At 40.8% G+C, this 27,854-nt stretch overlaps 2 protein-coding genes and 1 long non-coding RNA gene across 19 annotated transcripts in view, besides 2 other annotated features; 1 reads left to right on the top strand and 2 right to left on the bottom strand.

Annotated features, from left to right (window-relative positions):
* Positions 1-739: 739 nt before the first annotated feature.
* Positions 740-1,572, bottom strand: LOC105377590 (uncharacterized). The gene is made up of 2 exons (NR_133944.1): positions 1,243-1,572; positions 740-888 (listed from the first exon to the last, which is right to left on the bottom strand). It is a non-coding gene; the product is annotated as an uncharacterized LOC105377590 (long non-coding RNA).
* Positions 1,056-1,685: a silencer, noted in NCBI's record as "silent region_15856". NCBI's record gives its function as "represses an Ori minimal core promoter by ATAC-STARR-seq in GM12878 lymphoblastoid cells {active_cell/tissue: GM12878}" and the evidence as "EXISTENCE:reporter gene assay evidence [ECO:0000049][PMID:35858748]".
* CCDC110 (coiled-coil domain containing 110) lies at positions 1,270-27,821 on the top strand. 8 transcript variants are annotated; one of them, XR_002959722.2, is made up of 9 exons: positions 1,270-1,329; positions 1,954-2,058; positions 9,954-10,009; positions 10,295-10,360; positions 11,844-11,954; positions 12,765-14,877; positions 16,603-16,684; positions 20,630-20,782; positions 27,461-27,821. XR_002959722.2 is itself a non-coding variant. In XM_006714172.3 (8 exons), exons 1-7 carry the CDS (start codon positions 1,320-1,322, stop codon positions 16,665-16,667), a joined length of 2,526 nt encoding a protein of 841 aa, XP_006714235.1. In that variant the 5' UTR covers positions 1,270-1,319; the 3' UTR covers positions 16,668-16,684; positions 27,461-27,821. The 8 variants fall into 8 exon arrangements, 6 of the variants coding, with proteins under 6 accessions (XP_006714235.1, NP_689988.1, XP_011530129.1 ...); XR_427540.4 differs by lacking the exon at positions 16,603-16,684; XM_006714172.3 differs by lacking the exon at positions 20,630-20,782.
* Positions 15,554-15,848: a silencer, noted in NCBI's record as "tiled region #8879; HepG2 Repressive non-DNase unmatched - State 13:Ctcf". NCBI's record gives its function as "represses a minimal TATA promoter and a strong SV40 promoter by Sharpr-MPRA in HepG2 cells {active_cell/tissue: HepG2}" and the evidence as "EXISTENCE:reporter gene assay evidence [ECO:0000049][PMID:27701403]".
* CFAP96 (cilia and flagella associated protein 96) overlaps positions 23,177-27,854 on the bottom strand; it is a 41,393-nt gene continuing 36,715 nt past the window's right edge. For all 10 annotated transcript variants that reach the window (XM_017008239.2, XM_017008238.2, XM_017008240.2 and 7 more), the window contains one exon: positions 23,177-23,407. In XM_017008239.2, coding sequence (XP_016863728.1) covers positions 23,359-23,407 — 49 coding nt within the window. In that variant the 3' untranslated portion in view covers positions 23,177-23,358. The remainder of the gene's footprint in view (positions 23,408-27,854) is intronic.

Here is a 27,854-nt window from a genome sequence, read left to right as displayed (position 1 = left end):
ATGTACTCCACCATACCTGGCTAATTTTGGTATTTTTAGTAGAGACAAGGTTTCACCATGTTGGTCAGGCTGGTCTCGGACTCCTGACCTCAGGTGATCCACCCGCCTCGGCCTCCCAAAGTGCTGGGATTACAGGTGTGAGCCATCATGCCGGACCTAGAGCCCATTTCTTTTCTTTTTTTTTTTTTTGTTTGTTTTTTTTTGTTTTTTTGAGACGGAGTCTGGCTCTGTTGCCCAGGCTGGAGCACAGTGGCGCCATCTCGGCTCACTGCAACCTCCGCCTCCTGGGTTCAAGCGATTCTCCTGCCTCAGCCTCCTGAGTAGCTGAGATTACAGGCGCGTGCACTAGAGCCCATTTCTATAAGAAACAAATTAGAGGAAGTAAGCACTGAAACTATCATAAGAAGTTTCATTTCAATGAAAGCAAGCCATCATGTATTACTTATTATATATTATATGTTATTATATAGCAAATTATGATATCCTGGTGATTGTGATTTTGAATTTTAATTTTCTATGTGTGATGGTTTACTACAAAATAAATAATATATACTCGTTTAAAACTTTAAAGAGCACCATTTTCTGATGGGCAGGAGGATTAGCTGGGGGCACGCACCCAGTCCTTGGTTAAAGGAGGTCAGGTTTCCCGTGAACGCAACATCAATCCTGCACGTGATACACCAGGTGCGTAAAAATTAACATGCTTAGACAAAGGAAGCCCACCGTCGCTTCCCACAGCTTTCATGAGCATATTTTAATACATGTTTAGGTTAATTCATTATTGAAAAATAGGAGTCTTCTTTTCATTGCAGCAAACAAAAGTCCTTTCACAATATTGGTCATGGGCCGTTCAAATCCCCAAATGCTGAAACTCCTCTGAGGGATGCGCTGAAATGAGAGGACTAAGAATTAAAAAAAAAAAACAACAGCGATGAAGTGGAGATGTGGAAAGGCAAAGGGAAAGCTCTCAGGCGTGTGTCCGTCCCCGGGCGGTCCCTTTCTCCGCACCGCTTTGGTCCGGCGGGTACCGCAGCGAGTCCGAGTGTGAGCAAGCCCGTCCCGGACAGCCGCGCGCGTGTGCGGGGAGGCGCCCAGGTGGGCTGTCCCAGGCCAGGTTCCCAGGGAAGCTCTCGGGGAAGCGTCCGGAGTGAGGAGGGACCCACCGGGACCCCACCAGGGACCCCAGCCGAGCGCGCGCCGCCGAGGGTGGGGGTGGGGCCGGCGCCCCGGCCACCCGGTTACCTGGCGACAGGATGCCCTGCGCGGGGCGGCGGAGCGGGTGCGTGCGGCGGCGGTTGCGAGAGAGATGAGCCGCGGCGATGAGCCCGGGTAAGAGTTGGACGGGGCGGGGCTCCTAGGGGAGCCGCGGGAACGGAGGGCAGCAGAAGGGCATTCAGCAGGCGGCTCCCCGCTCGAAAACCCGGGACATCCCGGGTCCGCCCTTCTGCACTCGCCGCACATCTCCCGCTCGGCCCTAGGGCTGAGCACCCGCTGCGGCCCCCTGCGTCCGCTGTGGCTTACAGGCTGGCTACGTGGTCTGCCGCCGCCGCCCGCCCAGCGCGCCCTCGGGTGGCCGCTTGCGGAAAGCGCCGCGCCCCGCCCCAGGCCCGGCCTGATGCCGTCCCTCCGCCCCATCCCTCCGCCCCGCCCCAGCCTTCAGCCTTGACCCCGCCCCATTCCTCTGCCCCCACAGGTCCCGCCCAGTCTCTCCGCCCCATCCCATCCCTGCGCCCCGCCCCAGCCTTCAAACCCGCCCCCTCCTAATTCCCTCCGCCCCGCCCTCCCCGCCCTCCCCGCCCCCCCGCCCCAGCCTTCAGCCCCGCCCCCTCCTAATTCCCTCCGCCCCGCCCCAGCCGTTAGCCCTGCCCCGCCCCATCCCTCTGCCCCGCCCCCACCTTCAGCCCCGCCACGCCACGACCCGCGACAGAACAGCCCCGGACGGTTCTGTTACAGAAAAGCAGCACCGGGAAGAGGATGAAGTTGACTCCGTTCTCCTTTCAGCGTCCAAGATCCTAAATTCTTCGGAGGGGGTGAAGGAAAGTGGCTGCAGTGACACAGGTAAAATCGCCAGACCGTAAAAGGCTCCTTTAACTATACACAGGCGGCAGCATCTGGCCTGTGCCACCTGCTCACCTGGCGTGCTTCCCACGGCCGTGATGACACGGACAGCAGCCACCACGGCACTCGCGCTTTGTGCCAGTGCTGTTCTAAGCACGTAATGGATCAACTGTTTAATTCTCACAACACTTTTACGAGGTGGGTGCTACCACGATCCCCATTTTGCAGATAAGGAAACGGGCACAGAGAGGTTAACTCCCTAAGGTCACACAGGCAGCGAGGAATGGAGCGGGCATTCAGCAGGGCGGCTCCGGACTGCCTGTCTTCACCACCACGCTACGCTCCGTTGCTTCTCTGAATGCTAAGTAAGAATTGTTGAGTTTTTTGGACACACACTAAAACGATATGCAGTCAGCCCTCGGTATCTGGGAGTTCCGCATCCTTGGATTCAACCAACCACAGATGGAAAATATTCAGGGGGGAAAATTTTTAAAAATAACAGTACCACAATTTTTAAATGCAAATTTTGAACAGTATAACAGCCATTTACATAGCATTTACATTGTATAAGGTATTACAAGTAATCGAGAGATGATTTAAAGTATACAGCAGGATACACATAGAAGCTATGCAAATACTACCCCATTTTGTATTAGGGACTTGGGCATCTGCAGATTTTGCTATCCGCAGAGGCTCTGGAACCAATCCCCTGTGGATATCCAGGGAGGGGTGTATACCTTTTCTAAAGAAAACTACTTTTTATAGTAAATATTTACGGACTACAGGATATTATATGGGGAGGATGTTTGAAATAGCCACATAGCTAAAGCTTTCAAGCACCACATAAATTATGAATAAGATGGGGGTACCCAGCTAGGGGAATCTGAGGACATTGAAGGTGGAGTCCCAGGCGACTGACTACACGCCTCTCAGAGGAGCCTGCTGTGAGGGGACATGCCGGGGAAGGAGCAGAGCACGGGGCAGGAGAAGGGTCTAGACTGATGTGCCATGCCCGGACCCCCAGTTGCCCCTCTGTAGGATATGGGCAATCCTGATGCCAAAGTGCTGAACCACAAGAGGACTGAGGTTGGGACAGGATTTCTGCACCTCCACCATGCAAGATCTTCACAAAAAGCCTTGTCAGGGCCCGGAAAGAAGAGACTAGAGCAGCCACACCTCAGTAGACAGAAGACACCCGGGTGCCCAGGCACTACCAGGATGAGCAACACCCCAGTGGAGGCCAGCAGGACAGGCACTGGCCAGTCCCCTCTCCGCCCTCCTGCCTCCACCCTTGAGATATGCAGGTTTCCCTGGGCAACCAGGAGGGGCAAAGGGGCCCCCTGAACGAAGGAGAAAGAGTCCTCACAGAGAGTTGAGACATTGAGGTAGCTCCGTATTTACCTCAAAGAGAGCATGTAAGGTCAGAAGAAATAGAAGTACCTTAATTTGGCAAGATCACATGTTTTTTGACATGAATGAGGCTTAGGGTTCTGGAGAAAGATGCCAACATTTATAGAAAATAGTTACATGCAAAATAGCACATGTACATGTTTAAGAGTTACAGTCTTTCTTGCCAGAACACAGTGTTTACAGGTCTGGGGTTGACACAGGACAGGTTCTTAATAAACACCAGTTATCTTGAGTCAGGGGCCACCCAGGAATTTCCTGCCTGCAACTATAGGCAAAACTAGGAGGTATGGCTGGCGCCCTTCTCTCTACTCTCCTACTGATGCTTTCATTGTCACCAAGTGATCCATTCCCCGTGTACTGAGAAAATAATGACCTGATTTGCATAACTACTGCCAGGTTACAAAGAGTTATAGAATGTTCCCAAGGTGTCTCTGATTTCAGAACTAGTGGTTAACCTAATTAACCCTTATTGGAATGGGTTTGTGAGAGACTTTTGAATTTGAGGGTGTCCAGGGTGTTGTTCCCAGCACCCTGTTGTACCCGAGCTTTCATTCATTCATTCGTTTGTGGAGCATATTCTTTTGAGCACCTGCTAAGTTTCAAGTGCTGTTCTAGGTGCTGGGGATCCAACAGTGAACAAGACTTGCAAGATTCCCTGCCCACATGGAGCTTACCTTCTAGTGAGGGAACAGACAGACAAAGGCTATTGTGTGTAAGCGGGGAATAAATTCTATGGAGAACATAAGGCTGAGAAGGGGGGGAGGAATATTTGGAGTGGCAGAGGTGGGTGGGAAGTGTGTCATTTTAAACAGGGTGGTAGGAGAAGGGCTCACTCAGCAGGTCACGTCTGAGCCAAGACCAGAAGGAAGTAAAGAAGCAATCTGTGCAGATTTCTAGGGAAAGAGCACCGCAGGCAGAGAGAATGGCAACTGCAAAGACCCTGTGGTGGGAGCGTGGCTGGTGTGATTGAGGAACGGTTGCTCTTGTAAATGGAGCAGAACAAGTAGGGAAGGGTAGGCGGGAGGAACCAGGACAGGGCTTTGTAGTTCCATGGATGAATTTGGGATTTATTCTGAGAAAATTGAGAAGCACTGGAGAATTTTGAGAAGGCTTCTCTCCCCTCCGTCTTGACTAGAAATTTTGAATTTACCAAATTATCATCATATTGCCTCTGCAGTAATGAGTTAGTGTCTCTTGAGCATTCACTATGTGCCGTACACCTCGTACACCTCAGTAAGGGCTTTATCTACAAACTGGACACTCGCCTAGAGTTATCCCCTCACTGCGAGTGTGTGGCAAAGCTAGAATTCAAATCTGGGCGGCAGGCAACCTGTTGCATAGCTCCTTGCATAATGACTGTGACAAAGCCTCATGCAGAGGGTGCCACACCTCACAAAGCTTTGTAAGACAGGGACATCTAGGAATGAACTTGAATTGTCACAGCAGAACTCAGTATTAGAACCTGCGGCCAGGCATGGTGGCTCACGCCTGTAATCCCAGCATTTTGGGAGACCGAGGCAGGAGGATCACCTGAGGTCAGGAGTTTGAGACCAGCCTGGCCAACATGGTGAAACCCCGTCTCTACTAAAAATACAAAAATTAGCCGGGTGTGCTGGCACATGCCTGTAGTCCCAGCTACTCAGGAAGCTGAGGCAGGAGAATCACTTGAACCCGGGAGGCAGAGGTTGCAATGAGAAGAAACTAAGAATTACAAAGCTTGCAGAGAGCCTGACATCTTATATAGAATCGTTACCCTGTTGCATTTTCAGAATGTATTGGTTCCTCTTGGTCTGTTTGCTACAGGTATGCAGTTGGTACTTTTTGTATACATTGAATACAATATTTTTTGCAGGCTCAGAATAAAAATTACCTCAAAAGTCATCCCATTGATAACTACCTTGTTTTTCACTTTTGACAGAAATATGAAGCAGCTGGAAAATTTAAGTTGAATATGAGATGAGTAATATTCTTACATTCCCAATAAACTCTCATCTTGGTGGGTGGGACCATGCCTTCCGCTTTGTTTATGTGCCTCCCGATATTGTATGTTTAGCAGGGACTTGGTAAATGGTGAAGTGTGATTGTGTTTTATCTCCTGGGTTCTTTGATAATTTCCCTTCCAATTCTAGAATCACGTAATTCTGTGTGACTAAGTATTGCCTAGTTTTTAAATTACCTTTCCTTTGGGAATAAGTAGCAGCCGATGTCTCTGAAACTCATAAGAAAAACAGAAAGTTATGTTAATAGCTTTTAAAAATAGATGAATCCGACTCCCTGCCTACTCTCTGCCTGTGCAGAATCATCTGAACTTTGCTGGAGAAAAACACTCACTTTTGAGTCATACCATGAATCTAAAATGCACTCTCAATGCTATTGGGAAAACTTACTTTATTTCCACAGAAAATTCTTCTTCAAATCCTCTGCAAAAAAGCTATTTCACTCCTCCTGTTCTCAAATCTTGAACACGTTTCTCCCTGGCCGCTCCACTCATAACATGGTCCCACTCTATATGAAAAAAGTAGAAGCACTCAGACCCAAACTCCTTCATTCTCACCCTTCACATTTGTGAAACCCATATTCTAGGTCTTCTCCCATTTCAACGGAAGAATTGTCCTTGATCAATCAAAAGTGATTTCCTCTGGATCTCATCTCTTGTGGAATTCTCAAGTCCCAGCTTCTGCAATTAGCCTCCCTCATTGTCCGGAATTATTGCTTTTCTCCCTTTCTACTATGTGATTCCAGCAGCAAACAAGCATGTTAGAATGTCCTGTGGTTTAAAAAAAAAAAAATTCCTTCTCTTAGCCAGATGTGGTGGCACACACCTGTGGTCCCAGCTACTCCGGAGGCTGACATGGGAGGATCGCTTGAGCCTTGGAGGTGGAGGCTGCAGTGAGCCAAGATCATGCCACTGCACTCCAGCCTGGGCAACAGAGTGAGACTCCATCTCAAAAAAAGAAAAAAAATCCCTCTTGACTTTCACATCTCTTCCAGGATGCACTGTCTTCCCTTCCACAGTGAAACTAGAAACAGTGACCTATCCTCCATGCCCACCAATCTCCACATTCCATTCTCTCCTCAAGCACTTCGTTCGGGCTTCTATGCATGTCCTTCTGCATGGCCAGCAGTGACATCTATGTTTGTTTGTTTATTTATTTATTTTAGATGGAGTTTCGCTCTTGTCTCCCAGGCTGGAGTGCAGTGGCACAATCTCGGCTCACTGCAACCTCCACCTCCCACGTTCAAACGATTCTCCTGCCTCAGCCTCCCGAGTAGCTGGGATTACAGGCACATGCCACCACACCCAGCAAATTTTTTGTATTTTTAGTAGAGACAGGGTTTCACCATGTTAGCCAGGATGGTCTCGATCTCCTGACCTCGTGATCTGCCCGCCTAGGCCTCCCAAAGTGCTGGGATTACAGGTGCGAGCCACTGCACCCGGCCCATCCATGTTGAATGATGTGTTCATTGCTGCTCCCATGAATCATACACTGGTAGACCCACCTGACTATTGGATATCTCTTCTTTGATGTTTAACAGACAACCTAGCCTTAACATATCTAAAAATGTTTTTCTCCTAAAGTATGTTCCTACTCTACTGTTTTCCCCCAGTAAATGACATCATCCCTCATCCATCTGCTCTCACCAAAAAACAAGGAGCCATCATTCATTCATCTCTCCTGGCCCCAACGAATCCTCCAGCAATGCTGCTGGCTTCATCTCCAAAGTATATTCTGAATCTACCTGCTTTCCCCACCTCCCCCACCACCATTCTAGTCCAAGATATCTTCATCTCCACTTAGATTATTGCGGTAGCCCTGCAATTGCCTTCTCACCCCACCCCATACTCTATTATCATGTAGCAGAGTGACCTGTAAACTTTTCAGTCAGATCAAATCATTCTCATGATGGAAACCTTCCAAAGTTCCCCGTTTCACTTGAAGGAAAAGCCAACCCGCTCAGCTTGGCCTGGAGGCTCTGCATAACCTAGCCCCTGTCTCCTGCTCCGACGTGTCCTCATCTTGTGCTCCCATGGGTCCACTAAGCTGCTTAGTAACAGTGCAATCACGGTGAGGCCAAAAAAGGAAGAAGAGATGGAAGATGGAAAATATATGTAGACAACATGTATAAATCCCATTGCTTTCTTTGAAATCTTTGATTTACTGTATCCCTTTATTAAGTCTGTACATTTCTTTTGGTCTCATATTTCTTATTTGGTTTTAGCTAAAGGAATCTTATATTTAGCTTTGAACTTGCAAATCCTCCTAATGAAAGGAAATCTGTACAGAAAAAGGAAGCTATTCCTGTAGGTATGGGAAGGAGATAGAATTTTGAACAGTTACATCACTCAGAATAGAGTTGAAGGCTGAATACATTTATGAGAATGATATCCTATCTTCGTGTTTAAATAAAGAGCTGTGTGGAAATTACAGTTACAGAACAGAATGTAAACATAAACCTTCACAGTGTATAAATCACATAACTAGCAAATACCATGAAAAGAGGGAAGTAGGCATGGAAGGAAATAGAATGCTAATTTTCTCATCTCTCTTGGCAGGGAGTAAGTCAACAATGAATACAATAGAACTGTATGTTATTGAAACAATAAAGGTTTCAATCTTTAATTCTTTTCATGTTAATTTTCATTAGTTTACAGGGATCTCTTAGGAAATAATATCTCTCATGTAGTAAAAAAAAATCCAAATACTAGAAATAATTTCCACTACTTGCAGTTTTAAAAATTCTCTTAAATTCAAGTAAATATAGGCAATATTTATGTAAAATACCATTTATGTATAAAATGATTCCACTTCATCCACTTATGTGCATAGAGAGCTGACCGAAAGATGGCACCTAAAATTAACAACAGTTCGTTGTGGGTGGCAGGATTCTAGGTGGTATATTCTTCCCGATTTGCACTTTGGTCTAGTTAAGTTCATTAGAAGAGGTTACTTTAGAGTCTGAAAAACGTTGTGTTTCCTTCCTATGCTGGTCTGGGCCTTCCTTCAGTTCCTTATTTTTTAGATGAACAGTTCAGGATACCAGGAGTTTAGCTGCCATTTTATTCCCAAGAAGAGGCAAAGCTAAGCAAGATCCAGACAGCAAGATCCGCCCTCTGACTGAAGGTGGAGGCAAAGCTAAGCAAGATCCAGACAGACTCGCTCTCCCTCCCCACCCTCTGACTGAAGGTGGGATTCTTCAATAGCCAGGCAGCTCCAGGCTCCAAACCAGCGTTGCCCCTTTGGTGGTGAGGGTCAGAGAGCAGAAGGGGTGCCTGTACTTTGCAAGCGGCTTCTCTAACATCTGACAGCCTGCCAATCCAAAGGAGATTCGCTGACCTCTTTTAAAACTTAGGGCAGAAATTATCAGCCTAGGGGAACGTTCCATCATAGCTCTCATTTTACTTAGGACACTGAAAGCTTTTATGAATACACTCTTTAATAAAAAGTTTACAAAGCAAGCAGCCTAACATGCAGACAAAGAGGGATATAAGGGCATTTGCAAACATGATAGAGTCTCCCCCTGTTGCAGATCTATAATCTATCCAGGACGGTATCAAGCAAGTGACATTCTGCCTATTATCAAAAGAAGCTGGAGTACTTCTGTCTACTGTATCTTAGTATCGGAGTCGCCAAGCAAAACACAACAGTCAAGCACCGGATGCAACAACCCTTTACTCACAGAATGAAGAGACGGAGCAAGATCAGCCTCAGTAGTGGGTGTTGGTTCCCCATGGCCAGAGGGCCCCTTCTGGCCCATCTATAATCTAGCAGGGGACAGAGTAGCAGGGTTGGCCAGGTATCATATGACACACACACTTAAGCAGAACAAAGGAGTACACACTGAGTCTGAAGCGGGGAGTGCTATCCCCACACATGGTAGCAAGTCCAGCACAGGCTGTGAACGAGGACTTTAAAAAGAGTCCCCTTGGTAAAGAAGTGTTCCAGGCCCAGGCCCATTCATACATGGCCAAGAGGGGATCTAAAGACTGTGAATGTGAAACTGCCCTTCCCAAGGGAAGCCACAAGTGCGTACTGTGCTTAAGCCAGGACAAAAATTATGCTGTTGATCCAACTTGGTTTCCATAAGGGGAAAAATGTCACATGGAAATTTCACAGAAATTGAGGCCTGTATACTACTTTGCCAAGGGTCTCCCATAATATGAGCATTATTAGGTTTTTTTTGAATGCAGTTTATATCCCAGAAACAAAGATATTTGATATTTGAGTTTTTGAGAGTTCTAAGTGTGGTGTTGCAAATTAACGGTGTACTCTAAAAGTGAAGACACTATTACAACCTCAAGTGGATATATTAAGTCAAGCGAGAATTATCACTTAAGCTTATGTGACTAGCATAGTGTGAATATCAGAAGTTCTCATTATCTCTGCCTCACTATCCAAGCAAGTTAGGAGACTGCTTTCTATTACAGGTTTTAAAAAATAAAATTTAAGAATTAAGTCACATGGTTTTTCAATTTTGCTTCTTAGAATATGGCTGCATAGCAGAATCAGAAAATCAAATCCAACCACAATCAGCATTGAAAGTGAGTCTATATTCCATTTTATCATCTCCAAAATTCTGGGTAAAGGCTGATCTTTTTCAGAATAAATACTCCCTAAATGCAAACGGGTTCTCTCACTTTATCCTCACAAGGATCTCCATGAAAGCACATTGGGGAGTTAGCAAAATGCCTAAGAATGTGAACCACCTGACCCTCACGGGATCTTTTCAAGTAATAGGCAACTTTGGGAGACATAAAATCATAACAATTCAAGAATACGTTTACCTACCTAAAAATACTCAATTTCATACTTTACTTTTGTCATAGGTCCTTCAGCAGCAGTTGGAATCATTTCAGGCTTTGCGAATGCAGACTTTGCAGAATGTCAGCATGGTATGTTTCTTTTGATCTATATATGAAATATCTCACCTTGAAGTATCATCCCATCTTCTAAGCTGATGGTCACTAGCCAATGGATTAGCTGACACAGAATTTAATATAATAGAGGCCACAGCATATTCTAGGCTCAAAATTTATTTTAAAGAAACTACATTCTTCTCTCTGTTATACTTGTATTTGGAAACAAGCCCAAAGAGATAGCACTCGCTGATTTTTTCAATACACGTTTAAAGTCTATATATAGACTACAAATAGGGACCCTCATTATAGGTGACATGAAGTCTAATTCAAACTGGCTTAGGGAAAAAATACACTTTAATAGCTCAAGTAAATGAAAGTCCTGGAGAGAGCTCACTTCAGGATGGCTGAGTCCACATGATCAGGTCTTGTGTCGTCAAAATAGGTCTCACTCTGTATCCTGATTCTGCTTTCCACAGTAGGGGATTCTCAGACTCCCTGTGGTGGCAGAAGATCTGCTAGAAGGTCCAGTTCTTTCTCCTTCCAAATTCAAGTCAGAGAAGAGAGTACACTTTGCTTTGAGAAGGAGTTTCATTTTTGTCACCCAGGCTGGAGTGTGGTGGCATGATCTTGGCTCCCTGCGACTTCTGCCTCCTGGGTTCAAGCAATTCTCCTGCCTCAGCCTCCTGAGTAGCTGGGATTACAGGTGCCCACCACCATGCCTGGTTAATTTTTGTATTTTTAGTAGAGACCAGGTTTCGCCACATTAGCCAGGCTGGTCTTAAACTCCCGACCTTAGGTGATCTGCCCACCTCAGTCTCCCAAAATGCTGGGATTACAGGCGTGAGCCACCGCACCCGGCTACACTTTGCTCACAATAGTTTAGACTGAGGCTCTTGGCCTGATTCAGATGGATCCCGACTGGGTCACATGCAATGCTTGAACCAATCACTGTCAGGTGGCCGCTGTTCCCTGACTAGTTAGCACTCAGTCAGGTGCCCCTGGGAGTTAGAGGCAGAATCAATACTACCATAACCACGCTTCATCCAGAAGAAATAAGGAGAAGTATAAACAGAAGTCTAGAGTATAGATATTGGGGGTATGTAACACACACATATTCACTAAAGACCCAGTGTAAACTTCATCCCAATATTCTTATACTAAAAGCACCTGCAGGGAAATAGGAAGGGAAGATAACTCCTCCTAAGGGGGACAGAATAGATTCCAAAGGTCTCTTATTCAACAATGTAAAAATCAGACACCTAAAATCATTTGAATATAGTTCATAAAACTTTGTTTTACTAAATTGCTTCTGATTATAACAAGGCATAATTTTCTTAAAGATTAACGATAGAGATTACAATAAATTAAGTAGCTTTCATTTATATTCTATAAGATGGGAAAGACTGTTTATGGGCAGGAAATTTAAACACACCTTTTAATTATAATGTCTATTATTCCTGTACATTCATAAGTTTACAAATCTGAAATCAAATTTTTCTCAATTTATCTTTTAAAGGTACAGTCGGAAATCAGTGAAATATTGAACAAAAGTATTATTGAAGTAGAAAACCCACAATTTAGCTCAGAAAAAAATCTGGTGTTTGGCACGCGCATTGAAAAGGATTTGGTATGTTATTCTACAGAAATCATTTCTATATGTAGGTACTTCAAAACGTGACTACCATCAGTTCATTTCACTTTACATGGTCCTCTTTGTTACAGGAAAAATGGACCATCAGAGATGAAAATAAGGAAACTCCGGTCCTGAAAACCTTAAAAGATGTGTATTTACCTCTGTACTTTTGCAGTTTTCCCATTTCTCTTAAGAGTCTGTGAGGGACATTTGACTTAGTCCAGATCGTGAAAGATTCCCGAGTAAATTCAAATGCAAGGCAGTTTTTATAGCCAATCTATTCACTTAGGATTGACCTAGGTCTGGGGTAAATTCCCTAGAAAAGCTCCAAACCAAAGTTACCATCACTGTGTCCACACTGACTCGAACTCACACTTCCAGGATAGTCACAGTCCTAAAATCATCTGAAATGAGTGCAAGCTAAGGTTAACAAATAGCCCAGAATTGGAAACATTCATTTGCCTGAAACTCCCATTTGACCTATCGGTTCCATCTTTCCCACCTACCTATGACAGCCTCTTGAAGGACGCTAAATTTCTATATTTCTGAAATTGAGGGGTTGGCCCATGTATCTCACCCCAAAGGAAATAAGAGCAAGTTCTAAGCAAATTGTGAGGACCAGAGTTACAGATCTCAAAATAACTGTTGGAGAAAATAAATCATACTTGTTATGCTCCTTTGCTGTAGAAATGGATAAAATGCTTGTTTAGGGTACATAAATAAACCCTCCACAAAATATTATCTGTACTGCTTTATCATGTGGCAAATGACAATACATTTATAGTGTACTTCTTATTGTTACAGCCTACAGAGAATCAAGAAGAAAACCTTTCTATGGAGAAAAGTCATCATTTTGAGGATTCCAAGACACTTCATTCAGTGGAAGAAAAATTAAGTGGTGATAGTGTGAACAGTCTCCCTCAAAGTGTAAATGTTCCATCCCAGATACATTCCGAGGACACATTAACTCTGAGAACTTCAACAGACAATTTATCTTCAAACATAATTATACACCCTTCAGAAAATTCTGACATCTTGAAGAATTATAATAACTTTTATCGTTTTCTACCTACTGCACCTCCAAATGTGATGTCTCAAGCTGATACAGTAATTCTGGATAAATCCAAAATTACTGTGCCTTTTCTCAAGCATGGATTTTGTGAAAATTTAGATGACATTTGCCATTCTATCAAACAAATGAAAGAAGAGCTTCAAAAGTCACATGATGGGGAAGTGGCACTTACAAATGAACTTCAGACTTTACAAACTGATCCAGATGTTCACAGGAATGGTAAATATGACATGTCCCCTATTCACCAGGATAAAATGAACTTTATTAAGGAAGAAAACTTGGACGGTAACTTAAATGAAGATATAAAATCAAAGAGAATTTCAGAATTAGAGGCATTAGTGAAGAAATTACTCCCCTTCAGGGAAACTGTGTCAAAATTCCATGTGCATTTTTGTAGAAAATGTAAAAAGTTATCTAAGAGTGAAATGCACAGGGGAAAGAAAAATGAGAAAAACAATAAAGAAATTCCCATCACTGGCAAAAATATTACAGATTTAAAATTCCATTCCAGAGTTCCAAGATACACACTGTCCTTCCTCGACCAAACAAAACATGAAATGAAAGACAAAGAAAGACAACCATTTCTAGTAAAACAAGGATCAATAATATCTGAAAATGAGAAAACTTCCAAAGTTAATTCCGTTACTGAGCAGTGTGTTGCAAAAATTCAGTACTTACAGAATTACCTAAAAGAATCTGTGCAGATACAGAAAAAAGTAATGGAACTGGAGAGTGAAAATCTAAACCTTAAGTCCAAAATGAAACCTCTTATCTTTACCACACAATCTCTCATACAGAAAGTTGAAACATATGAAAAGCAACTTAAGAATCTGGTTGAAGAAAAGAGTACTATTCAGTCTAAGTTAAGTAAAACAGAAGAATACAGCAAAGAGTGTCTTAAAGAATTTAAAAAAATAATTAGTAAATATAATGTTCTGCAAGGCCAAAATAAAACTCTAGAGGAAAAAAATATACAACTTTCTTTAGAGAAGCAACAAATGATGGAAGCATTAGATCAACTAAAAAGTAAGGAACACAAAACTCAAAGTGATATGGCCATTGTAAATAATGAAAATAATCGAATGAGTATAGAAATGGAAGCAATGAAAACCAATATTCTGTTGATACAAGATGAAAAAGAAATGTTAGAGAAAAAAACACACCAGCTTCTAAAAGAAAAAAGCTCACTTGGAAATGAACTAAAAGAAAGCCAGCTAGAGATAATCCAGCTAAAAGAGAAAGAAAGATTGGCAAAAACGGAACAAGAGACACTTCTTCAAATAATAGAAACAGTTAAAGATGAAAAACTCAACCTTGAAACAACATTACAAGAATCTACTGCTGCCAGACAAATTATGGAAAGAGAAATTGAGAATATTCAAACCTACCAATCTACTGCCGAAGAGAATTTTCTGCAAGAAATAAAAAATGCAAAATCAGAAGCAAGTATTTATAAGAATAGCTTGTCAGAAATTGGCAAGGAATGTGAAATGTTATCAAAAATGGTAATGGAAACCAAAACAGATAATCAGATTCTAAAAGAAGAACTAAAGAAACATAGTCAAGAAAATATAAAATTTGAAAACAGCATCAGTAGACTTACTGAAGACAAAATACTTTTAGAAAATTACGTAAGAAGCATAGAAAATGAAAGGGATACCTTGGAATTTGAGATGCGGCATCTTCAACGAGAATATTTAAGTTTAAGTGATAAAATTTGTAATCAGCATAATGACCCTTCAAAAACAACTTACATTTCAAGAAGAGAGAAATTCCATTTTGACAACTATACTCACGAAGATACTTCTAGTCCTCAGAGTAGGCCTTTGGCTTCGGATTTGAAAGGTACGCAAGTCCTGGTAGATTAGTAGAGATGTGTTTAAGATTCTTTTAGCCTATTGGGCACTACAGAGTACAGAAATAAGGAGGAAACTTTAAAATGAATACAATTTTGTTTTGTAAAATTTGTATCCAATTTATTATACAGTGAAATTATTTAGGAATTTTTTCTAGATAAAATATATATTATTTTGTTTATATTATGTGCATTGTATGTGTACAAACCAAGTTTGGCAGTGAGCAAGAGGGAGTTAATTATTATTTTAAAGTATAAGTAGCACTCCCACCTTAAAAGAATTCTTTTTTTTTTCCCTAGGAATTCCAAGTAAACTGTATCATTTGCTTCCATCCAAGATATATAAATAAACTGCTAAAATCAATGTTTCAAAACCTTTGTCCAAGTACTTTTTCCCCCCACAAAATAATTTTAAATTATGTGATTACATTAACCTGGTAATTGATTAGACTAGTTTTTAAAATTAGAAATTGGAATTAAGTATATATTTTATACTGTCAAGAACGGTGGCGAATCTGAGATTTTACCCAACTAGTAAGCTCATATTTTAGCCTGCCACAGTTTTGTGGGTTCTAGTGGAAGTCACAAGACTCCTGAGCGAGAGATTAAGGAGAGTTTGTTACAATAGCAGGAGCCAGGGAATCAGCATGTTTGCATTGGTTGTCCAAGCCCCAGTTTCTACAGGCAGTGTAAAGAGGATCACACAGTGGATTGCATTACAGGAGAGAGTGAGCTTAGAAACCCGAGTATTATAACGGATAGTAAGATGCCTGCCCTTTCCTGTAGGTGGAAACAATACACATGCCTGCCCTGGCTCCAGAGGAAACACAATCTCTAGCTTCCAAGGTTGCAAGCACACCTGTTCTGTGCTCCAGAGACACTCTGTCTTCCAAGACTGCTATTCAAATATTCCTTGTTGAATTCTGTCCAAAGCTTTTTCTACATTTATTGGAGGTGATCCTGGTTTTTCTCCTTTAATCTGTTAATATGGTAAATTATGTTAATTTTGAAACACTAACCTTGAATTCCTGGGATAAACTCCACTGGGTGATGTTGTATTATTCTTTTAATATACATTCCTGGATTCAATTTGGTAATATTTTGTTAAGGATTTCTGCTTCTGTATTCAGAAGGATGTTGGTCTGTATTATTTTCTTGTAATGTCTTTGTCTGGCTTTGGCATCAGGAAAATCCTGTTGGGAAGTGTTTCCCCTCCTCTATTTTCTGAATTTGTGTAGGATTGGTATTATTAATATTATTCCTTCCTTAAATATTTAAATATGTAATACTCATACATATTTGTAAAATATATAATATGTAAATATTCACCAGAGGGCCTGGATTTTTCTAAATGGGAAGGTTTTACATTGCTAAATGATTTCTATTAATATAGAACTACTCAGATTTTCTATTTCTTGAGTTAGAGTTGACAATTTTGTATGTTCTGAGGAATTTGTACATTTCATGTAAGTTCTCAAATGTATTGTCACAAAGTTGTTCATAATATTCCTTATTAGCATTTTAACGTTCAAAGGACTTGTAGCGATGTCCCCTCTTTAATTTCTGACATTGGTAATTTGGGGATTCTTTTTTCTTTATTATTCTTGCTAGAGTTTTACCAATTTTATTTTTCTTTTCAAAAAATCAGCTTATTATTTCATTGATTTTTCTTGCTGCTTTGTTTTTTTCTTCCATTGATTTCTGTTCCTATTTAGTAATTTCATTCCTTTGGGTCGTCTGGTGCTACTTGGCTCCTTCCCTAGTTTCGTACCTGCATTAATAGCATCACAGAGTCTGGTATGTTTTCATTTTCATTCAGTTCAAAATACTTTCTTTTTCACTTGTGATTTATTCTTTGACCCAATGGATTGGAAGTGAGTTGCTTGATTTCTAAATGTTTGGAGATTTTCAGTTATTTTTCTTTTATTGATTTCTAATTTAATTCTGTTTTGATCAGAGAACATAATCTTTTTTAATTTATTGAGACTTGTTTTATTGCCCAGAATAAGGTCTGTCTTGGTTGATGTTTCAGGTGAACTGGAGTGTTCTATAAATGTCAACTGAGTAAACGTGGTTGACAGGTTTGAGCAAATCTATATCTGTACTGATCTTGTGTCTGCTTGTTCTAACAGTTACTGATAGAGGAACAGAGAAGTTGATTTGTTCATTCTATAAATTTGTTTAGTGTGTTTTAAAGCTCTTTTAATTTTTATTATTAATATTTTTTTTTTGAGATGGAGTCTCACTGTTGTCAGCCCGGGCTGGAGTGCAATGGAACAATCTCAGCTCACTGCAACCTCCACCTCCTGGGTTCCAGCAATTCTCCTGCCTCAGCCTCCCGAGTAGCTGAGATTACAGGCGCCTACTACCATGCCCGGCTAATTTTTGTATTTTTAGTAAAGACGGGGTTTCACCATGTTGGCCAGACTCAGTCAAACTCCTGACCTCAGGTGATCCACCTGCCTCGGCCTCCCAAAGTGCTGGGATTACAGGCATAAGCCACCGCGCCTGGCCAAAGCTCTTTTATGTATGCATACACATTTAGCACTATTATGTCCAGTTGGTAAACTGATACCTTTATTATTATGAAATAACCTTCATTATCCCTAGGGGTATTCCTTGTTCTAAAGTCTCTGATATTGATATAGCCCCTCTAGTTGTCTTTAGATTGGTATTTGCATAGTATATCTTTTTGCATCCTTTTATATTTATTTTGTAATGATGAATCAGTAGGAGAAACTCTGAATAGTTAAATAATAAATATATACCATGAAAATGGATTACTAAATCCTGAAAATCAAATATAAATCAAAGAACTAAAGTATTAAGAAAATAACTAATGGTGAGCACTATATCCATTTAAATACAAAATTAAGATTAAAGAACTGTTTGAATTATGGTTACAAAATAGAGTGTTAGTGTTAAAAAAACATTGACAATATAAAACAAACAATATAACTAAAAAGTTAGGTGCATCCTTTTACTTTTAACCTACCTTTGTCTATTTTGTTTACTGCTGAATCCCAGTGTCCAGAACCATGCCTGGAATATAGCAGACACTCAACATCTGTTAAGTGAATGATGAATGAACAGGCTGCCATTACACTAGAATATTAGGCAGAGGCTGGGCATTCACCTTGTACGAACATTATAAAGAGTTTTAAGTATCAAGAAGTTTAGACAAAATTAGCTGGGTGGGGTGGTACATACCTGTAGTCCCAGCTACTCAGGAGGCTGAGGTAGGAGGATCGCTTGACCCCAGGAGTTTGAGGCTGCAGTGAGCTATAATTGTGCCACTGCACTCCAGCCTGGGTGACAGAATGAGACCCCATCTGTTAACAACAACAGCAAAGCTTAGACAAGATGACATTTTAGGTCACTTTCTTTCTTTTTTATTTTTTTGAGATGGAGTCTTGCTCTGTGGCCCAGGCTGGAGTGCAGTGGCCTGATCTCAGCTCACTGCAACCTCCGCCTCCCAGGTTCAAGTGATTCTCCTGCTTCAGCCTCCTGAGTAGCTGGGACTACAGGCATGTGCCACCATGCCCAGCTTATTTCTGTATTTTTAGTAGAGATGAGGTTTCACTATGTTGGCCAGGCTGATCTCGAACTCCTGACCTTAAGTGATCCTCCCGCCTCAGCCTCCCAAAGTGCTGGGATTACAGGCGTGAGCCACCACGCCCGACAATTTTAGGTCACTTTCTAACAGTAGTGTAATGATTTCAAATTGCTTTATGAAGATTTTTGGAAATATATATAATATTGGGGGAGGGAGGATAATATATGTTTTTCTAGCTATCTCCCATAGGCTTATAGCCTGCCCCCTTGATAAGGTGTGAGGAGGAATAAACTGGAAACAGGTCTTCTCAAGTCTTTTTTCTTGTAAAGTAACGTGCGTTCTACAGTTGATTTCCTACAAGTAACTAACCTCCACCTTACCCTGCTCTCTAATTTTGGTAAAGGCTGTAGAGTGACTAATGTAACTGTTAAATGCAGCCAGAGGCTGGCCGTGGTGGCTCATGCCTGTAATCCCAGCACTTTGGGAGGCCGAGGCGGGTGGATTACCTGATGTCAGGAGTTCAAGACCAGCCTGACCAACATGGTGAAACCCCATCTCTACTAAAAATACAAAATTAATTAGCTGGGCTTGGTTGGCAGGCGCCTGTAATCCCAGCTACTCAGGAGACTGAGGCAGGATAATCGCGTGAACCCAGGAGGCAGAGGTTGCAGTGAGCCGAGATCACACCATTGCACTCCAGCCTGTGCAACAAGAGCGAAACTCCGTCTCAAAAAAAAAAAAAAAAATAGCAACGAGAAGGCTGAGGTGGGAGGATCGTTTGAGCCTAGGAGTTGGAGATGAGTGTGGGCAGCATAGGGAGACCTTGTCTCCACAGAAAATTTGAAAAATTAGCCAGGTGTGGTGGCATATGCCTCTGGTCCCAGCTACTTAGGAGGCTGTGGCAGGATTGCTTGAGCCTGGGAGGTTGAGGCTGCAGTGAGCCATGATCGCACCACTGCACTCCAGCCTAGGCGACAGAGCAAGACCCTGTCTCGGGAAAAAAAAAAAAAAAAAAAGCAAGACTGTGTGCTTTGCCACTGCTAGTTGTGCTAACTTGGACAAATTAGTTAATCTTTCTCTAACTCCATTTCATTGTTAGATGTAGATTAAGTGATTCATAATTGAAAACATATTAATATGGAATGCACATGGAATGGTATCTGGCACATCGCATTATATAAGTGTTATGTAATGCTACTATAATGCTACTAACTCACTTTTGGAAAATTAAGTTATAACTGATGAAAATTCAAATTAACAAATTACCTTACAACTTATTTACAACAAATTATTTGATGGATAATGATCTAGTGGTTGTTTTTGTTTTGTTTTGTTTTGTTTTAGTTTGTTTGTTTTTAGAGACAGGGTCTCACCATGTGGCCCAGTCTGGCCTCAAACTCCTGGGTCCTGGTGATCCTCCTGCCTTGGCTTCCCAAAATGCTGGTACTACAGGCATGGGCCACTGTACCCAGCCTTAATAGACCGATATATATTTTTTATTTATTTTACAGCTTATAAAATATTTTAAATTTGGTGTTCATAATAATTCTTCCAGGTAGATAATACAAATGACAGATAATGAAAGAGTCTTAAGAAATTAATTTTGCTCTAGTATAGACAGCTATAATAGTAATAGGTTGAACCTGGCTTTTTTTTTTTTTTTTTTTTTTTGAGTCTCACTCTGCCGTCCAGGCTGGAGTACAGTGGTGCAGTCTTGGCTCACTGCAACCTCCGCCTCACAGGCTCAAGCAATTCTCCTGCCTCAGCTTCCCCAGTAGCTGCGATTACAGTTGCCCACCACCATGCCTGGTTAATTTTTGTATTTTTGGTAAAGACAGTATTTCACCATGTTGATCAAGCTGGTCTCGAACTCCTGACCTCAAGTAATTCACCCATCTTGGCCTCCCAAAGTGTTGGGATTACAGGCATGAGCCACCGAGCCCGGCCTTGAACTTGGCTTATTATTCTTAATGCATGTTCCACATTTATATACAAAAGGAGCAGGCAGTCTCTGAAGAAGCAGGATAAGATTTCAAAAACTATGATTGTACTACTGCTTAACTTTCTTGAGGTGCTACTGCTTAACTTTCTCTCCAGTTCTTATCAGAGCTTCTTATTGATCTAAGTTTCCCTTAAAGTTAAGCCTTTCTTCCATGTTATGTCAACATCCACAATCATTGTTTCAGATTTGAGCCTTGAACAGATGTAAGCAGACAGTTTGTAGCAGAGACTGATGTCTGGCTGAGCAAGCTTATTTCTTCCATTACTCATTGACGATGGATGCAGAAAACTACCCAAGTCATACAGGCATCATAACAGGAGAGTAGATAACTAGATGTGTAAGTTGTCAATAGAGGACGCCAGTGTCATGGCTGAGTCTGAGGAATAAAACTGTTTTGTATTGTTACATTTTCAAAGTTAAAAGAAGAGACAACAATTGTAAGAAAACAATCCATGGGCATCATAACTAGTTTGCACCTGTCAGATCGAATGTGTGTGTATGATTTCCTCTACTGACACTTAGAAAAATCTTAATTGTTTTACATATTTCACTATTCCCATTACTGGTTTCCATATTTGGTTTTCTGTAAACCGACACAATACATTTATATAAAATCCAGATAAGGTCTGTCAATTGTCACACTACTGCTTAAACCCTTCAGGAAGGCATTAGGTTAGTGTTCCCATCTATGAATATGATATGAAGTGTGTTGTCTTAAAAAGGCACATTAATAAAAATTAACTATAAAGACAGATTAAAATGAACAATTATGATTTTGAAATCTAAAATAAATTTTGATAAACTCTGAAAATATAAAACTCTTATCTCAAAAGAATTGGGATTACAGGCATGAGCCACCACGCCCAGCCTAAGAATATTTATAAGGCTTTTTTGGTAACATTATTGATATATAACCGTAGATTTTATTCACCTATGTGTACTTGGTAAGGCCATTCCTATTCTGAAGACAAATGTATTCAATATTACTCTTTGATTCACATTATACCCTTGGTAATGTGTTTACAATATTAATTGCACAGTGTTAGTTATGAAGCAGGCATGAAAAATTCCTTTAAAACCTTAATTGTAAAAATTATCTGTACCATCTGCACTCCTCCTTCAAAAGCCAGCTATATGTCTGGCTTGACATAGTTCCCTCCACTTAAAAAAAGTGGGGAGGCCCAAAAGAAGAGTCCTGTAGCCTTCTACAAACTCATTTCCAGCTCTAGGCAGCCTGGACCGGCAGAAGGACAAGTTCTAGCAAAGCACCACGTATTTGTCCATTTTCACAATGCTGATAAAGACATACCCAAGACTGGATAATTTATAAAGAAAAAGAGGTTTAATGGACTCACAGTTCCACGTGGCTGTGGAGGCCTCACAATCATCATGGAAGGTGAAAGGCACATCTTGCATGGTGGCAGAAAAGAGAGAATCAGAATCAAGCGAGAGGGAAACCCCTTATAAAATCATCAGATCTCGGGAGACTTATTCACTACCACGAGAACAGTATGGGGGAAGCTGCCTCCATGATTGAATTAACTCCTACCAGGTCCCTCCCACAATATGTGGGAATTATGGGAGCTACAACTCAAGATGAGATTTGGGTGGGGACACAGCAAAACCATATCACACCATTATCAAAAATAACTTCCAATGTATTATTTGATATTTAGATATTTTACATTTCCCTTTTAAAATACAAACCCCACCAGCCCCTGCCCCTGGTGAATGAGGGCTATCAATACCTCACTATGAATTACAGTAAGATATTTAAATCATGTCTTTTAAGAGCAGATTTTTTTTTTTTTTTTTAGACAGAGTCTCACTCTGTCGCCCAGGCTGGAGTGCAGTGGCATGATCTCAGCTCACTGCAACCTCTGCCTTCCAGGTTCAAGCGATTCTCTTTCCTCAGCCTCCCGAGCTGGGATGACAGGCACACGCCACCATGCCCAGATAATTTTTGTATTGTTAGTAGAGACAGGGTTTCACTATGTTGGGCAGGCTGGTCTCGAACTCCTAACCTTGTGATCCACCCGACTCAGCCTCCCAAAGTGCTGGGATTTCAGGCGTGAGCCACCGTGCCTGGCTTAGAGCAGATATTTTTAAAAGAGATAGGGCAGGTGAAGGAGAAGAGATAACTTGGGGACTAGCGGGTAAGGCCTAGGTGGGATGCCCCAGGAGAAGCAGCTTGACAGCTAGAGAGGAACATGGGAGGACACGAAAGACTGACTTCATCCATCTATCCATCTTCCAACTTCAGAATTTTTATAAGATACTCAACTAACAAGTACATTCCCCTCAACCCCTCAAACTCATCTTGGGGCTGCCATTGGCTAAATAACCTGATGCTTTACATAAGTCACAAATACAGGGCATGTTATCATATAAGCTGAAGCATTTGCCTCACTATATCATGTGTATATATTGTATCTACGTAATAATATAAATGGATCTAACATTTATCTTTGATGTTAAGAATGCTTTAGTAGGCTATGACACTTGGATAGCTATCAATCCAATTTTCAATACTTCTGAGAAGAAACAGCAAGAATTTATTGTATACTTTCTACCCTTCCAGCAGTCTCTTCCGCTCCTCCCCTCCAACGCTGCAATTTTTTAACATTAGCAGTAAAAGCAAATGACAGATTGCACTCCGGGATTTTATAAAATGTGTAAACATATTCTGCTCAGAAGCATAGATCTAAAAACATAAATCAACAACCACGTGTTATTAGCAAATACTATTTATTAACTAGTAGTATTAAAATAAGGAAGAGAATTAGAGTTGCAGAATTTCTTTTAACTGCTTGAGCTATCTGCTCCATAACATCTTATATTTTTTCAAATAATTAGCTCTTGATAGTGAATTACTCATAGTTAAGATCTAGAAAGCTACTTGTCTTCCAGTTGCTAATAGGATGGTACTGAAGAAGTCTTGTAGTTCTTTGAATTTAGTGCCCTAAAATTGGAAAATAAACACACATTAATTTTATAGGTGCAAGTCAAATACCTGTACATTCTTTTTTTTTTTTAAGACCGGGTCTCGCTCTGTTGCCCAGGCTGGAGTGCAGTGGTGCAATCACAGTTCACTGCAACCTCAACCTCCTAGGCTTTTAGGCAATCCTCCTGCCTCGGCCGCCCAAGTAGCTGAAACTACAGGCATGTGCCATCATGCCTGGCTAATTTTTATATTTTTTGTAGAGACAGAGTTTTGCCATGTTGCCCAGGATGGTCTTAAAATCCTGGGCTCAAGCGATCTGCCTACCTTGGCTTTCCAAAGTGCTGAGATTACACACGAGCCAACACGCCCAGCCTATCTGTACATTCTTATAAAAACTATTTTCATTAAAAAATTTAAAACAAATATACTTTGTAACATATTAACAATCCAAAATCAAAATTTTCTCATCAACTTAAAACACTTCATTTTATTAAAGCCATATATACTTAGAAGATACAATTTAAGAAGGAAAACAATTACGGAATCAATTTTAAATTCTGGTGTCCAAAGGTTTACTGGTTTTAAAATTAGGGTAAAAGAAGCTAGAACTTGATTCAGGATAATGTTTTGATAATGTATTATAAAAAGAAAGAGATTTCAATAAATTCAAAATTACTAAACGGAAGATAAAATTCAGATTTTTCAAAAGAATAATCACTTATTCTTCTCTTTCTCCCTGTTCCAAAGTTCTAACAGCATCATAGAACTTTCTCAGGTTTATTCTCTGGATAGAAGAGGACACATAGAAAACCTGAAATACTGCCCCCTTCCCACACACAAAGTTCCATCTATCAGAGGGTGGGTGTGGTGAGGAAAATTCTAATTTTACTGTCTGTTTATTAGATGAGTTGGGCAGAGTAGCGATAGGTGGCTTGCCAGAGGTTAAAGGTTAAAAGGATAGAAAAAAGCTCCATATCTTTACCAACTTTACCAACTAGCCCACAGAGAATAGTATTCCTGTAGACAACAGTTTAAATTACATACATTTACCCTAATATCTAGGGGAATCGTGGTTCAGTGACATAGATCAGTTTTTGTTAATTCAGAAAATGTGAATTTTGCTAGGTCAGAATCAATTTTCCTTACTTATGCCACAAAATTGTCACCAAAGTGCTACAAAGAGTAGATAAAATATGCAAAAAACGGTCACCATCGTCATCTATATTAGCTTATTATAATAAAACCCATATGAGTTAAGCTACCATTCAAAATGTATTTCTGACCGGGCGCAGTGGCTCACGCCTGTAATCCCAGCACTTAATCCCAGCACTTTGGGAGGCTGAGGCGGGCGGATCACCTGAGGTCAGGAGTTCGAGACCAGCCTGACCAACACGGCAAAACCCCTTCTCTACTAAAAATACAAAAATTAGCTGGGCGTGGTGGTGGGCGCCTGTAATACCAGCTACTTGGGAGGCTGAGACAGGAGAGTTGCTTGAACCTGGGAGGCAGAGGTTGCAGTGAGCCGAGATCACACCTTTGCACTCCAGCCTGGGTGACAAGAGTGAAACTCCATCTCAAAAAAGGAAAAAAAGACAAAACGTATTTCCAAAACCTGTTCTTTCAAACCTATATATAGTATCAGCAAGACATAGTAGGCTTGGAAAACTTAAATTGGCTAATTATTGCAGCTAAGAAGGACTATTCATTTCACCTACATTACCTCACTTATAATAGCATCTCATACATTAGTGATTTTGTATTAATTGCATAGTTTAGCTTCTATTTGGTATCATAGCAATTTAGAGCTTCTGTCAAAGTAGTATTAGAGTTTGGGGGGTGGTTATTTTATTTTACATAAAATGTGAATGTACTATCCTTCCAGTTAATTGCAGTGATACTATATTACTGAAATTGAATTCATAGGAAAGACACTGGTTCTAATACTCCTAATGAGATGCATACATGGCTTAATACAGATGTCATAGTATTGGAGGCCACTGAAATACACACAGCATTCTGTAGTTAACGCTAGTGACACATACAAGTGCTCAAGAAAAAACTTCACTTGACAAACGCTTTATGCACTTGCCATTTGGGACATATTGAGATAAATGTTTTGAAAAAATATAAAATCGGCCGGGCGTGGTGGATCAAGCCTGTAATCCCAGCACTTTGGGAGGCCAAGGTGGGTGGATCACGAGGTCAGGAGATCAAGTCCATCCTGGCTAACACAGTGAAACCCCGTCTCTACTAAAAATACAAAAATTAGCCGGGCGTGGTGGCGGGCGCCTGTAGTCCCAGCTACTCGGGAGGCTGAGGCAGGAGAATGGCGTGAACCCGGCAGGTGGAGCTTGCAGTGAGCCGAGATCGTGCCACTGCATTCCAGCCTGGGCGACAGAGTGAGACTCCGTCTCAAAAAAAAAAAAAGAAAAAATATAAAATCAAACATAGCTATATGTAACAAAATAACTATCATACAAGGTATAACATATATGGAATGACTATAACACATAAAAGACAGGTTTGAGATAGAAGTTCAGTAGAAGCTCCATGTGAGGATATTAGCAGACTTTAGAGAAGAGATGATAGAAGATAGAAGGCAGAATGAACAACCTTACCAGCAATGTAGTAGAGTAGGTTAAAAGAAAGTACATGTATTTCATGAGGCTCAAAAAAAAGATGCATGAAAATAACAAGAAAGACAACAGGAAAGCAGGTTATAGCCACCTTACAAAGGAACTTCAGGTTTTTAAGCAAATGTTTGAAACTAGATGGCATCTCAAGCTAATTAGTCCCCATGAAACCAGAAGATAACTTCAATTTTTTTTATAGAAAACACATCTTAAAGTACATAAAATACAGTAAAATCATGTACATCACAAAAAATGTTGTGGGCTATAGATACTATGTCTGAAGTAACAAACTATATAACATTTAAAATTTTCCTTATGTAAAATCATTTTTTGCTAATCTTGCAAACTCTCAACATAAAATTTAGTACTAGGTAGTCCCTGATTGATATAAAGCTTAAGATGCCCAGAAATTTTTTTTCAACTTAAGCAACTGACTAGATCAAAATAATTCAGTCAGAAAATTGGATACATATTGAAGCTCTAAATGGATGTTGAGTGAGAGAATAAAGTGAAAAAAGGCCATTGTTAGGTATCCAGGGACCACAGAATCTTCTCAGTAGTCTCATGAGCAAGAAGAGTAGTACAAGTATGAACACCATCTAAGTTAGAGCACCCCAAATTATCAAAGTTTTAAGACAGTATCAACTTACTATGAAGTCTTCTTTCCCAAAAGAATTCATGTATTCAAAATCATATTTTGATTAGGTAAAAGTTAACACATAGCACTGGTATTTTTAATTCATAAAAATGTTAAGTAATTTGTCTTTAGCTGATTAGTTCTGCTGATAAATACATTGTTCTAAAGAACTTAACAAGTAGTCAATCAGAAATACACCTTTGTGCTGGGCGCAGTGGCTCACACCTGTAATCCCAGCACTTTGGGAGGCTGAGGTGGGTGGATCACCTGAGGTCGGGAGTTCGAGACCAGCCTTACCAACATGGAGAAACTCCGTCTCTACTAAAAATACAAAATTAGCCGGGTGTGGTGTTGCATGCCTGTAATCCCAGCTACTCGGGAGGCTGAGGCAGGAGAATCGCTTGAACCTGGGAGGTGGAGGTTATGGTGGGCCGAGATCACGCCATTGTACCCCAGCCTGGGCAATAAGAGCGAAACTCCGTCTCAAAAAAATAAAAAAGAAATACACCTTTGTAATAAAGGGCAGTTTTATTTTTGTGAAATAATACTAATGTTAGTATTATAATTGCTGTCCCCAAGTGTTAAAGATGTACTACTGTTTTTATAAAAGAATGTAAATTTAGTGTCCTTTAGACACAGAATAACTGATTGTTTTTACTCCAAAGAACTTTTTCAGTTTTGAGAGTATGCAAAACCTGGATAAAATTGAAGTTTTAAGATACCTTGATAATATACTTTTTCTCAAAGCATTATAGTTATGTTGGCATTTTTAATTAACCAGAATATTTTCTATTTTCATAGGTTATTTCAAAGTTAAAGACAGAACTCTCAAGCATCATTAGGATTCCTCAAGATTGCTAAGAAACTCCCTTCGAGAAATAGCCAATGTTAATTGTACTGCTAACTGAACTATGCATATCTAACTCATCTCAAATGACTCATAATGAGGCGCTATATATTTGCTTTAAAAATTATGCACAGAATGGTTTGGTGCAGATAACTTAAGCTTTCTCAGCTGGGAATTTCAGAAGATGGGGGAGAACTTCTACAAGGGAGGGCAGGTACCTGTACATGGAAGGAGCTGAGATGTCTAAAGTCACCCACATTTGTCATTTAAAAAAGTATATATAAATAAAAGATACTATTTTGAAGAAGTATAAAAGTTGGAAACAATTTTTTCTTAGTTTGTAAGCTA

Source organism: Homo sapiens, chromosome 4, assembly GCF_000001405.40.
Source record: "Homo sapiens chromosome 4, GRCh38.p14 Primary Assembly".
NCBI classification, from domain to species: domain Eukaryota; kingdom Metazoa; phylum Chordata; class Mammalia; order Primates; family Hominidae; genus Homo; species Homo sapiens.
The sequence above is the reverse complement of the archived record's forward strand: the minus strand, read 5'-3'. Positions and strand labels throughout refer to the sequence as shown.